This window comes from Homo sapiens, chromosome 2 (genome assembly GCF_000001405.40).
Source record: "Homo sapiens chromosome 2, GRCh38.p14 Primary Assembly".
In the NCBI taxonomy this organism is placed as follows: Eukaryota; Metazoa; Chordata; class Mammalia; order Primates; family Hominidae; genus Homo; species Homo sapiens.
Window position 1 is genome coordinate 236,519,379 of NC_000002.12, and position 16,562 is coordinate 236,535,940.

Below are 16,562 nucleotides of genomic sequence, written 5' to 3' on the forward strand. Positions count from 1 at the left end.
TGTAGATGTCCTGGGACATGAAATGCAGGTAAAAATACTAAATAGCTACCTTAAAAAGACTTTTTATAAAAGTATAAGTGCAGTAAAGTGGGCAACTCTTTAGCGTACAGCTCAATGCATTTTCACAATTCGAAAACACCCGTGTATGAAATACCCAGATCGAGACTCACGAGAATAGCAGAATCCCAGAGGCTCCCAGAGGACCCCTTCCAAACCCATTCTATCCCTCCTTCCCAAAGGCAAATGCTGCCTGACTAACACCAAAGGTTAATTTTTCCATTGTAAAGAAAGACTTCATATATAAGCTTTATGGGAATGGAATTATACAGTGTACAGTTGACCCTTGAACAATGCAGGGGTTAAAAGGGCACCAACCCTCCAGGCAGTCAGAAATCTGAATGTAACTTTTGACTCCCCAAAAATGTAACTGCTACCCACCTACGATTAACCAGAAGTTTTACTGATAACATAAACTGTCCACTAACCCATATTTTGTTTGTTGTATGTATTGTATAATGTATTCTTACAATAAAGTAAGCTGAAGAAAAAGAAAATGTTATTAAGAAAATCATGAGGAGGAGAACATATATTGACTGTTCATTAAATGGAAGGGGATCCTCATCAAAGTCTTCATCCTCATCGTCTTCATGTTGAGTAGGCTGAGGAGAAGGAGGAAGAGGAGGAGATGGTCTTGTTGTCTCAGAGGTGGTAGAGGTGGAAGAAAATCCACATATAAGGGAACCCATGCAGTTAAAACCCACGTTGTTCAAGGGTCCACTTTATTCTTTTGTATCTAGCACCTTTCAACCTACTTATGATTGATCGTGAGATTCATTCACGTTCTTGCATGTAGATGTAGTTTGTTTTCATTGCTGTGTGTAGTATTCCACATATGAACAGATCACAGCTTATTTATCCATTCCACTATTGAGGGACAGTTGGGTTGCATGCAGGCTTAGGTTATTGGGAGTAACACTGCTGAGATCATTCACATACATATCTTTCAGTGCACACACATACTCCTTGCTGGACTATGGGGTATACACATGTTCAGCCTCAGAAGACACTGACAAAAAAGTTTTCCACCATGTTTCTACCAATGTTTTCTTCCATTTTACCAATAAGAGTTCTGGTTGATTCCCAGGCTTCCTAACCCTTTGTATTTTCTATCTTTTTCTTTATTTTTAGAGTTGTAGTGTCATTCTCTCATAGGGCAGCCGTCTCCAACCTTTGTGGCACCAGGGACTGGTTTTGTGGAAGACAATGTTTACATGGACCATGGGGTGGGGGGCATGGTTTTGGAATGAAACTGTGCCTCTCAGATCATCAGGCATTAGTCAGATTCTCATAAGGAGAACACAACCTGTCTCCTTCTCATGAGCAGTTCACAACACGGTTCACAGTTCTGTGAGAATCTAATGCTGCCACTGATCTGACAGAAGGCAGGGCTCAGGTGGTAATGCGAGCCATGGCGAGCAGCTTTGCTTTCTCACCTGCCACTCACCTCCTGCTTTGTGGCCCAGTTCCTAACAGGCCACGGACCGGTACTGGGGGGTGGGCGTCCGGTTACAGGGGCTTTAATTTGCATTTCTCTGGTAAGAATGGTACTGAGAATCTTTCTGTGTACCTCTTTGACCGTCTGGATATTTTGTGAAGTGCCTATGGAAATCTTTTGACCCACTTTTATTGAATTTCCTCTATCTTTTTCTTATTGTTTGGTAGAAGATATTTATGTATTCTGGCACAAGTCTATGTTGAATGCCTTTATTGAAAAGATCTCCTCCCACCCTGTGGTTTTCGTTTTCTCTTTTTAAATGGTGTCTTCTAATGAACAGATTTTCCTAATTTTACTGAAATCTAATGCATCAACATTTTCTTTAAGATTAGTGCGTATTTGATGTTCTCTTTAAGAAATTTTTTACAAACTTCAAGGTGAAAAAAAATTCTTCTATATTATGTTCTAAAAGCTTCATTGCTTTATCTTTCACATTTAGATCTGTAATCTATTGAGAATTAATTTTTCTATGAAAAATGTGTGTGTGAAGTAGATGGATTGAATTTCTGTCTTTTCTATATTAAAATTCAAATCAATCAGCACTATTGATAAAAAGACCATCCTGGACCACCTGTAGTCCCATCTACTCGGGAGGCTGAGGCAAGAGGACTGCTTGAGCCTAGGAGGTTGAGGCTGCAGTGAGCTGTGATTGCACTACTGCACTCCAGCCTGGGAAACAGAGCATGACCCTGTTTCTGAAAAAAGAGAGAGAGAAACAGAGAAAGAGAGAGAGATGGAGGGAGGAGGGAGAGAAGGAGAGAGTGAGAGAGACAGAGAGAGAGAAAGAAAGAGAAAGAGAGACAGAAAGAGAGGGATGGAGGAGGGAGAGAGGGAGAGAGTGAGAGAGACAGAGAGAGACAGAAAGAGAGGGATGGAGGAGGGAGAGAGGGAGAGAGTGAGAGAGACAGAGAGAGAGAGAAAGAAAGAGAGAAAAAGAGAAAGGAAGGAAGGTGGGGAGGAAGGAAGGAAGGAAGGAAGACCATCCTTTCCCCACTGCTCTGCAGTGATACCTTTGTCACTAGTGAGGTGTCCATATATGTGTGGGTCTCTCTCTGAAGGGCTGCTGGATTTTGTTGAATGCTTTTCTGCATGTTTAGAATGATCATATGATTCTCTCTGTTCTGTTAATGGAGTGAGGTACATTGATTGATTTTTGTATGCATGTCTGGGGTAAGCTGCACTTGGTGGGTTACACTTATTATACACTGCTCAATTTTGCATGCTAAGATATTGTTGAAGATTTTTGCATCTACATTTATAGTTTTTAATTTTCTTTCTTTTAATATCTTTGTCAAGTTTTGTTATCAGGGTTATTTGGACCTCATAAAATAAATTAGGAAGTGCTCCTTTTCCTGTATTTTTTGAGAGTTTCTGTTATATTGCTATTTTCTTCCTTAAATGTTTGATAGAAGCCATCTGGGCTTGAAATTTTCTTTGTGGGAAGCTTTTGGCTAAGAATTCAATGTCTTTAATAGATATAGCACTATTCAAATTTTCCATTTCTTCCTAGTTTTGATAAGTTGTACCTTTCAAGTAATTTTATTATTTCATATAAGTTGTGGGGTTTACCATATGAAGTTGTTCATAATATTCCACATTATTCTTTTAGTATCTATAGGATTTATAGTGATATTCCCTTTGTCATTCCTGATATTGGTAATTTATATTTTCTCTTTTTTCGTTGATTGATCTTGCTAGGGGTTTATCATTTTTATCGATATTTTCAAAGGGGCAATCTTTGTTTTGATTAATTTTCTTTGTTGTTTATCTCCTACATTAGTTATCTATTGCTGCATAACAATTATCCCCAAACCCAGTGACTTAAAACAACGCACATTTATTAGCTCAGGGTTTCTGTGGGGTAGGAATCCAAGCACAGCTTAGTGGGATGCCTCTGCCTTGAATTCTCCTCATGAGGTTGCAGTCAGGGAGAAGGCAGGTGCCGTGGTGTCATCTGAGGGCTCGGCTGGGGAAACGTCTACTTCCAAGCTTACCTGAGTGGCTGTTGGCAGGATTAAATTCCTCGTGAAATGTTGGACTGAGGAATCCAGTTCTTCCTTGGCTTTCCTTAGTTCTTTTCCACACAGGCCTCTCCAGCTCACAGAATGGTAGCTGAACTCCATCTGAGTGGGCAGGCAAGAGAGAGCATGAGAGGAGCAGCAAAAGGAGAGCCAGGGTCTTTCTTTAACCTCCTCCCAGAAGCCACAGCTCATCCCTGTTACTTTTCTCTTCTCTCCGATTCTGCACTACCTCAGGTCTGAAAATGCCTGAAAAACAGACAATTCACAAATTTGATCCAGTTCTATCATTATTTATGATGGGAGGGCTGATCCAGTACCACTTAATTCATCAGGGCTGGAAAGAGTTATTCTTTTAATAAGTAATTGCTTTTGGCTTTTAGGCTCCATAGGACTTGTTGTTTCTCTGCCAAAAATTCTTTCTTTACACTTTCTGCTTCAGACTGTTTTGTTAACATCTGTTCTTTTTCTGTCTTTGCTACATCTAGATTTAATGACATCAGCAATAATTGTAGCATAAAGCTAATAAGAATGGCAGCACCTCCATTTGTAGTACTGATGGCTTTCTTGTGACTGTAACTGATTGAGTTTAAAAATCATTTCAGAAAAGCCATGGATCATGAGATACTATGCTATGAAATCATTACAATCATCTAGAATTTAAATGAATGGTATGTAGTCAAATTGTAATTTCATTTAACTTTTTAGTGTTCTATATACTTATTATTGTTATTGTTTGTGAATACAGCTTCCAATTATCTACTTCAAATCTAGAAGTGACCTGAACTGTGAGTTCGGTTTTAGTTCTCTTGTATAGAAAGATTTGACATTGGAGCATCCAAACTTCCAACCTTTGGCTCCTCTTAGAGAAGGCCACCTCCTGGGCATGGGGCCCTCATCCACATTCCTCTAAAAAGGCACTAGGAACAAGAGTCAATGAAAAGTGCCCAGAGACCTGGAGATGCAAGGAGGAGGACAGGTGTGCAGGTTGGCTAGGTGAGGCCTGGGCTGCTGGCCCGTTTGTTGGTATCTCCACATTGCTGAGACAAATCAAGAGACTCTGTTTCCCCTGCTTATGGTTGACAGAATGTCTTCAGACTCTGAAAGAGGTTCTGGTGTCCTCCTAGTCTGATCCCAGCATGAAGGTCTTGACCCTGTGCTCACACACTGGCCATTCAGCTGATCTGGGACAATCACGTGCCAAATCAAACCTTTTGGTTTATTTGTTGAAAATGCAGGGATCTCTGGTAAGAATAAATCTCTGTTTTCCACAGAACCAGAAGTGAGAGTGAGATTACTTTTATTTCTGCTTCTTTCAAGGTCTTGGATGAGTTAAAAAAAAAAAAAGAGCTGAACTAGGATTAACGAGGCTCACTTTTGCTTTTTTCTGTGATACGGAAGTTCTATTATTATTAAACAATGTAACGGATACAGAATTCAGACAGAGACAAATGGAGAAGATAAATAGCCAGATGTGGGGGGTGGGGGGAAGGCAAAGAAAGGAGAAATGGATAAACCATATAGAAGATGTGTTCTGTATTCATTTTTCATTATTTTGTAACTGATTGCCACAAACTCACTGACTTAAAACAGCCCCCATTTAGTATCACAGTTTCTGTTGTCCAGAAGCCGGAGCACAGCTTAGCTGGGTTGCCTTCCTGAGGTCTTCAAGGCTGAACTAGAGTGTTGACCAGGCTACGTTCCCTCCTGGAGCTCTGGGTCCTCTGGCAAGCTATTCCGGCTGTCGGCAGGACTCAAATGCCTGAAGTTGTGGCACTCCTGGAAGCCGCCCCCAGGTCCCAGGCACATGGTCCTCTCCCAGCATGGCAGCTCATTCCTCCAAAGCCAGCTGGAGAACCTCTCTCCAGTCCACTACAATGAAGTCTCAGCAAGGGAGCGAGTGTTTCATGCCAATCACAGTCCTGCCCACATTCGAGAGGAGAGGGCTTAAAGGCATATCTAACAGGGGTGGGAATCTGGGTGACCATCTTAGAATTCTGCCTGCCACATGCCATTAAATCAAGCATGTGGCTAATGAAGAAAACACTTTGGCTAATGAAGAAAACAATAGACGTATTTGGAAGTGACGTCTCCTGCTGGCCAGCCTCTATCGAATGGAGATGCTCTGTGAAACCTCTCTCCTACGTGGGGTTGTTGCAAGGCTGGTTGGGTCATGCTTGTGAAAAGCCTCTGCAGAATGGACCCTGCTCTGCAAGTGTAAGGGAATTAGAATGTGTGTGTGTGTGCATCTGTGCATTTATGTATGTGGGTTCGTGTGCATGGATGTGTATGTGCGTGTGTGTGCGCGCACATATGTGCATGTGTATGTGTGAAGCAAAGTATTCCACATCAGCTGTCTCCCTCTTGGCTCTCCCAATCCAGAGTGAGCCCACCTCTTGCCAGCTCCTCGTGGACCTTTGCTGTCTCTAGGTGCTTAACACCTCCCACCTGCTCTTGTACTGTTGTCCCCCTTTATATGTGGTTTCGCTTTCTCTGATTTCAGTTACCCATGGCCAATCATGGTCAGAAAATATTAAGTGGAAAATTCCAGAAATAAACAATTTATGTCTTAAATTGCATGCTGCTCTGAGTAGCATGATGAAATCTTGTGCCGACCCACTCATGGCATGAATCATCCAGTGTCTCCACAGTGTAGACGCTACCCACCCATTAGTTATCCACATCATCTTCTCCTGACATCCAACCATCCACATGGTCACGGCTCGATGATCCAGGGGCACCCAAAGCAGATGGTCCCCCTGATGCATCATCGAAGGTCAGTAGTAGCTGAATGCTATGTCACAGTGCCTAGGTCATTCCCTCACTTTATCTCATCTCTTGGGCATTTTATCAAGACAGACCATCACAAGAAGAGGAAGGGTGAGTACAGCACAATAAGACATTCTGAGAGCGAGACAAAGAAAGAGAAACCACATTCACATAACTCGTATCATAGTATATTGTTATAATTGTTCTATTGTATTAGTAGTTATTGTTGTTAGTCTCTTACTATGCCTAATTTATAAACATTATCATAGGTATGTATGTACAGGAGAAAACACAGTATATATAAGGTTCAATAGGTTTCAGGCATCCACTGGGGTCTTGGAACATATCCCCTGAGGATAAAGGGGGACTACTGTAATTTCTTTTGGACTTCGTATCCATTTCTCACCGCTTCACAACCTTTCCAACTGTAGAGTTTTTTGTTTTTTTTTTTTTTTTTTTTTTGAGACGGAGTCTCGCTCTGTCGCCCAGGCTGGAGTGCAGTGGCGGGATCTCGGCTCACTGCAAGTTCCGCCTCCCGGGTTCACGCCATTCTCCTGCCTCAGCCTCCCAAGTAGCTGGGACTACAGGCGCCCGCCACTACGCCCGGCTAATTTTTTTTTGTATTTTTAGTAGAGACGGGGTTTCACCGTTTTAGCCGGGATGGTCTCGATCTCCTGACCTCGTGATCCGCCCGCCTCGGCCTCCCAAAGTGCTGGGATTACAGGCGTGAGCCACCGCGCCCGGCCCCAACTGTAGAGTTTGCGCCTTGATCATTTTTTGCATTCCCTTTTGTGTCATGAATAAAGGAAGCGAATCCACTCTAGACGTGACCTCTTGTAAGGCTGAGCGCGGTCATGGCACAGTAGGGAGGGGCTGCTGCTGTCCTGAGGTCCTGGTAAGCGGATTCCACCTGATCCCTTCACTGAGCATCTCTTGAGTGCTTGCAGTCAGCCCAGGAAAACGTCATCTAAATGGCGCCACTCTCCAGGGCCTCTCCTGTTTTAGAGATGTTCTGTGTTTCATAATGGCACAAGACGCTACTTTGAACCGCTTTCCTTTATTACAAAAAATAAAAGGTGCTAAACACACACATGCTTTAAACACTGGCAGTAGAGTAGTGACCAGTAGCCTTCAGGGCAACTTGCAGTAGACCCTGGTGGCCAGCTTCACATGTGCAGGCAAACCCAGCTTGCAGGTGGTGCATCAGTCTCTTGACAGAAGCGAGGGGTGTGGGGTAAAGGTACCATCAGCAAGCCAAGGCTGTTTACATGGGCTCACTGAGAGCTGGCAAGAGGGCTATTGCTCATGGTGTAAAATAAATACTAGTGGTGGGGCAACATAAATCTTCTGGCTGAAGGAATTATTAGTGGCACATTGACCTGGTGTGAACTTGTAACAAGTTAAGAGGCATTATTGATAGCTTTTCTCATTCTCCAGGCTCAGAGAGGGTTACCTTTTACAGAAATGTAAACACACCAGACATGCTTTCAATAACAATTGTCAACCATGTCCCAGCTTAGACTAAAAATTCCCCCTTGGTTAGGTTTTTTGACACTGTACTTAAGACTAAACTTGTAACATGAATGCTAGCAATGTCGAGCACTTGGAATCTCAAGCTGTTTATCAGACGAGGGCTGTTCCTTATCTTCTCGGTGAAAGATAAACCAAAACATGCACCAGAAACCACCACATGTTTTCCTTCCCAATATGGGCGCCTTTTTTCTAGAGAAGAAAATTTTAGTTCCGTTTCTTCTTCCAGAGCTGAGACCTTTCACTAAACGACACATTACTGCCTAGCGGCCTACGTGAGCTCTTTCTGGGGCTGAGAACTGCAAGCTCCTCTCCTGCACAGCAACTCCTTCAGTTACTTCATTCCTGTGTGGCCTTCAAAGATCAGACGAGTCACACATTTGCCATGGCCCGCTCCTACCAGCCCTGTCTGTGGCCAGCTCTCCCTCATCTAAACTCCTGCAGGATTGTTTGCTTTTTTAGGTTGTAAATGGCGGGAAAAAATTGACTCCAGTTGGCTTAGCAAAAAGATATGTTTAGTGGCTTGCAAACCTGAGACACTGGGTGTTAACACTGCCTCCCCGCAAAGCTGAACCTGGGGCTTCCTCTCTTTTTCCCATATACTAGAATCTCATTCTCTGTGACCAGATTCACTGTCCCTGCCCGGCAATGTAGACAGGATACTTCTCTAGCTTATCTCAAGTCAGCCATGTATCTGCCAATATCAGATCATTTAAAGAGTTACAGGACTTACATCACTTTCATCTGGATCTCTTTCCCTCCCTCCCCCTTTTTCTTTCTTTCTCGTGTATAAATAAACAGATCTTGCCTCACATGCAATTAGAAGATCTGAGTACTAGGACATCTTTTCTGTTTTTCTGGGCCCTTGGAAGTGAGCTGGTGATTTATGTTATCAACAATTGAAAGCCATACTAATTGATGGACAATTAATACTTTTACTACTTATGGCAAATGAAAATGTTTGACTTTATAGTTATTGCTGCATTTCTTTTTTGAATAAATAAAACCATTCTTGTGACTAAAGTGAAAAATGTATCTTTATCAAACAAATCTCATTTGAGTGGCAAAGGACAAAGGGTTGGTTCTGCGTTTCCTTTGAGTCCTAGAAACCCAAGGGAGCATCAGCACTTCACTGTCCCCCACCATGATGCAGGGCCACTTTCCTGTGGCACCTCCACCTTGGAGCCTACTCTGTTCTTGACCTGCGCTCCTCTCTAAGAAGAGAGGGTGGGGACAAAGAGAAGGCAGAGAAAGCAGAAAAAAGCAAGATGGCAGGCTCAAATCCCACGACATCAATAATTACACTATATGCAAATCGCATAAGTGCTCTGGCCAGAGAGGAAGGCTTGAAACACCCTGAAATGCCTTGTGTCTCCACCTGGCGAGGTCTGATGAGGGAATCTGGGACCAGGCTTACAACCTACTGTTTTGAGTTGTGCTTTCTCCAGAAAGAAAAGCCCTGAATGACTCCAGACATAATCATTGTCTATGCTGCCTTTCTGACCCCATCAGTGGGGACCTTTAGAAGAAACGGCCAGGCCTGCATGGGCCTGGGTTTCAGTCCTGACTCTGCTACCAATCAATAGAGTCAGCTCTGGCTGGTCTTATCTCCATGCTTCGAAGCCCCACATAACTCCAGAGTCCTCATCCAGAAAACAGCTGTGATGGCATTTTTCCTACAAACTACTCAGGATGGTTTTGGGAACAAAATAATATCAAAAAACTGAATGTAGCTCTATTAGTCCATTTTCACACTGCTATAAAGAACTGCCTGAGACTGGTAATTTATAAAGGAAAGATGTTTAATTGACTCACAGTTCTGTATGGCTGGGGAGGCCTCAGGAAACTTACAATCATGGCGGAAGGTGAAGGAGAAGCAGGCACCTTCTTCACAAGGTGGCAGGAGAGACAGAGCGCAGGGGAAACTGCCACTTTTAAACCATCAAATCTCATGAGAACTCACTATCATAACAGCATGTGGGGAAACTGCCCCGTGATCCATTTACCTCCCACCAGGTCCCTCCCTCAACACTGGGGGATTACAATTCGAGATGGGATTTGGGTGGGGAAACACAGCCAAACCATATCAGTAGCATTTTCTTGTTTATAAAGCACCTTTCATATCTATGTCTGTATCTATATATCTATATATCTATATCTATCTCTCCTTTAGACTTTATAGTAGTGAGGCAAGCTTTATTATTGTATAAACATGAAAACAAAGTCATATAACTTTCTCAAGGTCACACAGCTAGTGTAGCAGAGCCAGGACTGACCTCAAGACTTTTACAGTCTAGAACCTCTCAGAACAAGAGAGAATTTGAGAGAGCTTTGCAAAGTGCATTACCACTGGAATCACTTGGCAAAAGGAAAAGAAATCCATGCAACTAACTTACACAAAAAGAGGATATGTTAAGAAGACTCAAGGACATATTCAGAATCCAAGATCAGCTAGACCTCATAAGGGCCATTGTTCCAGAAAAACTGCCAGGAACAGAGAGAGCCAGCCTCCCCCGTGACCTCACTCTCTCTGTGGGTCTGCCGGCCCTGTCCTGCTTCCCAGCGCAGCACTGTTCAATCCTTCTCTCTCTGCTTTTTGTCAGATTTCAAATGCCAAACCCTGGGCCTCTCAATCCGTTGCTTTTCCTAGGTAGTAAACATGTACTTGGTAAAATACCATATATGTTCTAATATATTGTTCACTGAGGAAATACTCAAGGCTCTATGAAGGGGAAATAGTCACATGTCAAGTTTAAACTGCTAATCATTTCTAAACAAAGTGGAATTATTGTTTTATATGCTGTTTCATACCAAATTTCATATATATATTGACATCTATTATTTCTCAAAACTTTTTAGCTTTCATTTTTTGTAATAGCATCTTCTCAATGTAGGACTTCTATTATATAGAATAATTACTGATCATCAACACTGACTATTAAACCTACAAGTTAAACTTGGGTAGATCATGATTTTTTTTCTGTAAGAGAAGATATAATTAGTAAATAAAAACTGGGCTATAAATCAATAATGAAATTTTCTAGAAAGCTCCAAAATGTTCATCTAAGAAGACAGTGGAACAGACAGCAGTACCAGGAGGTCTGTCTCCCAGCTTTCTCTGTTGCGTGTACAAAGACATTTGAGTTCATTCAAAAAATGATGAATTTGATTTGCTTCAGGACTTCATAGGATGCTCTGCTGTTGTGCACAGCATAGAGATGGATCCATAGATGGCTCTCAGGATCTAAAGTCAGGCAGGCTTAGCACTCATAGCTTAACTAGGAAAAGGTTACATTAGAATGCCCAGAGAAAATATTCATATTACATCAGGAGCCACACAGATTGATAAGAAACACACGAAGTAGTCAGCATGTGAATAGGCAGATTATGAGTAAACATCTTCACAAGAATCAGTACAAATAAGTGAGAAAATGTTAACTCCCAGGAGTAATCAGAGGACATAACTGCCCTCTACTGCTCACCCCAAGGGAAATGATTTAGAATGTTATGACCTCTACTTACTTCTGAGAATTTCTCCCAAGAGAGAAAAAGTTTATCTGCACAAATTAATTTTCAGTAAAGAAGTGGCATTCAATATTAGGAGAACAGTGAAATAAATTGTAGTGTCAGCCCTAATACAGCCATGATACAGTTAATTTTGAAGATTACTGGCAACATGAACATATTTATATCAGATTTTCAAGCAACAGTAAAACAATCAGAAAGTCAGAGCTGAATAGGTTCTGAGACATGGTAACATCTCCAAATCTTCCACGTATGTAATTCAGAGAATAGACTGTGTAAAATTGGGTTTGCCTTTCTCTAGTTCTCTACACAGGTTCTGAATATGACACGGATCTGGGCATACTAGCTGAAAGAGACAATGGGAAGTTTTAGAAGAGAGACACAACTGTCAGAAAATCCAGGGAGAGCTGTGGTGGGTGTGGAATTACCTGACATTTGTATTCACCCGCGTATTCCCCACCAATATATAAACTTTTTTAAAACCATAGAACCATGAAAAGAAAAGGCCTCGTTGCACAATTTGGTGCTCCCTTCATCTGTGGAGAGCAGGTGTCTGTGCCACAGCTCTGGTGGTCTAGGGAAGCATTCGCAGTAGACGAGCCAGCTGCCTCCCAGGCTGAGATCCTGGAGTCACCCTGTCAGCACGCTCAGACCCCATGTGGCTTCTTATGGTGCTGCCTCACTATCATGTCTTCCTTCTTTGGAGTTGAAAGCCTCTTCTTCCCATCTCCCCACTTTCCTAAACCCTCTGAAGTTACGTCCACACAACAGTCATGAATGGGATCCAAGGAGCTTAAGTACTACATATGAAAGGCTGGGAAACCTCAAGGCAAATACTGCCTTGATCACCTGGAAAATGGTCCTCTCTTTCACCATCACTCACAGGCCAGGTGCCCAAAGGCATTGCATCTGAGGTAAGCAGATGTCTGCAGCTGTGTGTTAGATACAGCTCCACAAAGGTAGACCCTGGGGTGAGGCCAGCCCTGTGAAGAGGGTCACACAGCAGGTGAGAGTGCCCGTGCATTTGGCCTGCTGGTCCACAAGCCAACCTCTGATTTCCTTTCGGGCATTAGTCCATGGTCCCTCCTTATTGGCAGCACATGGGAGTGGTGCCTGAACTGGGCTGCTGTATTTTATCACTTCTCTCTTTGCTGTTGAAGAACTGTGGGCCTTGAGTCCAATCTAGTAAATGTCCTCATTACACTCTCTCAGGCTGGGTTCCCAAAGTAGACTCTAAGGCAAGAAATTGAGTGCAAGTAGAGTATTTGGCAGACAATCCCAGAAAGCACTGCTATCAGGGTGGGAAAAATGTGACAGGACAGAAAAAGAAACCAACAAAGGGTGCAGGTTCAGGCAGGTTTCCACTGTGGCTTCTGGGGCTCCTTCCCACTGAGGAGTGATGATGAGACAGCCAGAGTTACTCCACCTGCAGAGCAAGGAAGCTGAAGTCTTTAACTTCCATCTGCCCCAGCACCGGCTGTGGCTGCTCCCTGTGGCACTACCTCTCAGAAAGCTCTCTGGTGGGAGTGGCAGGTGTCTGTCACAGCACACCAATGGGTGACTAGCAGGTGCCCCTGTGTTTGGGTGGCTTATTGAGCACCAGGGTAAGGCTGGAAGAAGAGGGTGTGGAAAACACTACAAGAGATTGGCAGAGGGCATGAATGGGCAAGTCATAAAAGAAATGCAAATTAAATTTTAAAAATTGTTTTGGATCTATAAATTGCAATGACTGGAAATAATGATAACACCCAGGAGTCAGTGAGTTATCTGGAGACCCACTCAGTTATATGCTGTGGTCAGATTATAAACTGGAATAAAGTTTGAAAGGCATTTTGGCAACACATACTTAGGAATGATTCTCATTAACAAAAGTAATCTGGGCATATCTCTTCCTGTCAACCTTAAATAGTCTGATACAGCTTAGAGAAGATATGGTGTGCTCTGTACCTATGGCGGTAGAGTCATTACAAATAATCAGGGACTGATAATTATCCTCTACTTAATAGTTCTTCCATGTCCCCCATCAACTCTTGCTAACTTTTCTTTCTTATAACTTCATCACCTGAAATTGTGTCATATATATTTTTGATCTGTTTACTGCCTAATTCCTTTTGGTAATGTAAGTTCTGTGATGGTAGGGACTGGTCTTAATTATGATCACCTAGATTTGTGCCTAGATAGTACTCAATGTGTATCTGGTAAGCAAATGCAGGGTTGCATAAATGGATGGATAAATGGATAAGTGGATGGGTGAGTGGATGGATGAGTAAGTGGGTGGATGAGTGGACGAATGGATAGATGAGTGGACAGATGGATGAGCACATCTTTGCTGATTATTCTTTAAAGGTGAAGAGGAGATGGTGGGTAGGTTGAGGTCTGGTTTTGCCTAAGTGAAGTGAAGCCATTGATAGGTTTGAGGCATGAACACCGCTTACCCCATCTAGTGCCAGTCTTACCTGAGGATGACTTGATTAGGAACCCATATGACACGTTGTACATCTATAAACTGATCAGACAACTCCTTTTGTGTGACCCCCAAACACTCATCCACAAAAATGTCCCATTTCCATTAGAAGAAATATCATGGTTCTCAGTCAGCTGCTTCTGCTGAGACCCCCACCTCCAGAAGATCTGGTAGAGGAAGCCCAAAGGCTCTTTCCATCGGAAGCATTTGCAGGTTGTAACACTTCTCATCCCACTCATGGAAGAGCAGAGACAGCCTGGTTGGGCGAGCACTCACTGTGGAGATGCACAGCCCTACAGGAAACAGCTGCCTTGTCCCTGTCCTGCTGAGTTTCATGGCATCACATGCTTCTGCCAACTGGAATCTTCTAGCGTGTGGTCCATGGGGATCAGATTTAAAGGCACCAAACTCTGAACAGTCGTACAGTGGCCTTGTGACAAGTAGTTTATCACATGACAATGGCATGGTGATGGTTACCTTCCCTAAAATATTAGGGAAAATTTCCCCTTTATGTAGTATATTTGCTAAAAATTGTATAAAAAATAGCCTAGTTCATAAAAGTAACACTAACCAAGTATACTTTAAAGATTACTTTTCTTGGACCAAGGATGTCTGGGCTCAATCTGCTTCCCCATCCAGGCCAGGCCTCTTGCTGATGGGCTTTGTGTGGGGACAGCAGGAGGACCACAACAGGGAGCAGGTGGGGAGATGTGGCTCACAGTTGTCCCCTGCTGCCCTCGGTTCCTCCAGCTCTGACTCTCCTGGCTCTGCAACTTCTATGGCTGACGTGTCAGCAATCGCTGGCCTTGCTCTGCTTTCTGGTGTTTGGGGCCTTTGCATTGCTACCCGTCAAACCCTGGTGTTCATAAGTGTTTGGTTTTATCCTGCTCAGTCCCACTGTCATACAAGACTCAGTCTTGGGATCTCAGGGAAACACGTGGGTCTCCTACATGAAAAGCATGGGGTCCCTTCCCTTTATGTCTCCAGCCCCGAGAGCGAGTTGCCTGATGGGAAGGAAATTCTTGGCAAATATGTTTGGGTGGAATTACTGTAAGGACTGGGTCTTTGAAGGCAGCACCTCCAAAGAATTCTAGCTTTTAATGTGGATGATTTGCTTCGTTTTCCTCGGAGTCAACTTGCCTGAGAAAGTTGTTGCTGAGTCCTTTCCAACTCAACAAGTTGAGGCAATATCTTGGAAGTGTTTTTAATGGGAGATCTCTGTTCTAATTCTCCTGGATTTCTCTTCAACTGGTTAGGATGGAGAGGAGGAAAAGAGGTCTGTTCTTGAATTTGAGTCTTGGTCTTACCACTACTGGGACTTGAGTGGTTAGACAAAAATGGTGGACAGACAGATATAAGGATTTGATGGTGAAGGAAAGGCTTTTTCACAATCTGTGTTTCTGTGGCCTTCCTGAGGGTCTCTTTCGTCCTTCATGGCCTGGCATAGGATTCTTCTATGTACTACTCAGATATAGTATGGCGCTATGGCTAGAATTTAGAGTTTTCCCAGCTCAGAAAGTGGGCAATGACCTGGACAGCCTCTTGGGATGCAGCTGGGATCCTAACTAAAAAGAAGCCAGGCTGGGCTTTCACAGGGGACAGTTGGGGTTGAGAAGCTCCATCCCCATGGCCTCCTTCCGCGGGACCCACTAAGGCTTGTTGGGACACGGCAAGCAATTTCCCATCATTATTATTCAGGGGAATTTCATCCATTCGAGTGGAGGTTTTGTCCATTTCTGGTTATTCTGAATTCCATAGGATTCCAGGCCCTTCCGGCTCTGAGGAGGAAACTTTCTAGCAAATGTGGATGCTTGTTTCCAGTCCTGTAGTTCCATATTCACATATTTTCTCACTCACGGAAGGGGTCAGGAAGAGAGCCGAAACCTCAGCAGGAAACTGGGTTGGGGGTCTAGGATGGAGCAGATTTGGAGCAATGCAGTGTTTTTGGAGCCAGGCCAGGGAATGCTGTGGTTATTACTCATTGTATTTCTAATGTTTCACAGGCAGAGCTTGGCGGTGTGCTTGATGCAAACATGGCAGATATGAACCTGGTGTTGTACCCGTGGGTCAGGATGAGGCAGGCATGGGTGTGTGTGAGGCCCTGGGTGTAGAATCAACCGAAAGTGGAGGCTTGCTAAGAAGACTCTATCTCCAATAAATCAGCTACCTGTGGGTCTGACTCCAGTCAAGATTGGCACCAGACTACCCTGGCTGAAGTGTCAGGGCCTCCCATCAAGGTCACGCATGGAAGGAGGAATCCGAGGGAAGCTGGGGAAGGTTGCTGGCTTCTCGCCTTGGGTGGAAAGGCGGAAGCCCTGGGGTGGGGGTTTAGGAGCAGTGCTTCTGTCCCCGCAGAGTTGGCTTGGCCATGACGGAAGAAAGCCCGGATCTCAAGCTGGGGCCTTCCAGAGGAAGGGGAGTGCTGATGTCAGGCAATCAGTCATGGAACTTTGATGTTGGGATCCAGTCCCTTGGGAGGGGAGTCCTTTTTTTTAAACTTTTAAGTTCAGGGGTACATGTGCAGGTTTGTTACATAGGTAAACTTGTGTCAGGGGGGTTTGTGGTACAGATCATTTAATCACCTAGGTATTAAGCCTAGTACGCATTTGTTATTTTTCCTGGTCCTCTCTCTCCTCCCATTCTCTACCTCATGATAGGCCCCAGTGGAGTAGGGGACCTTCTGAGTCCTGAGTCACAGCAG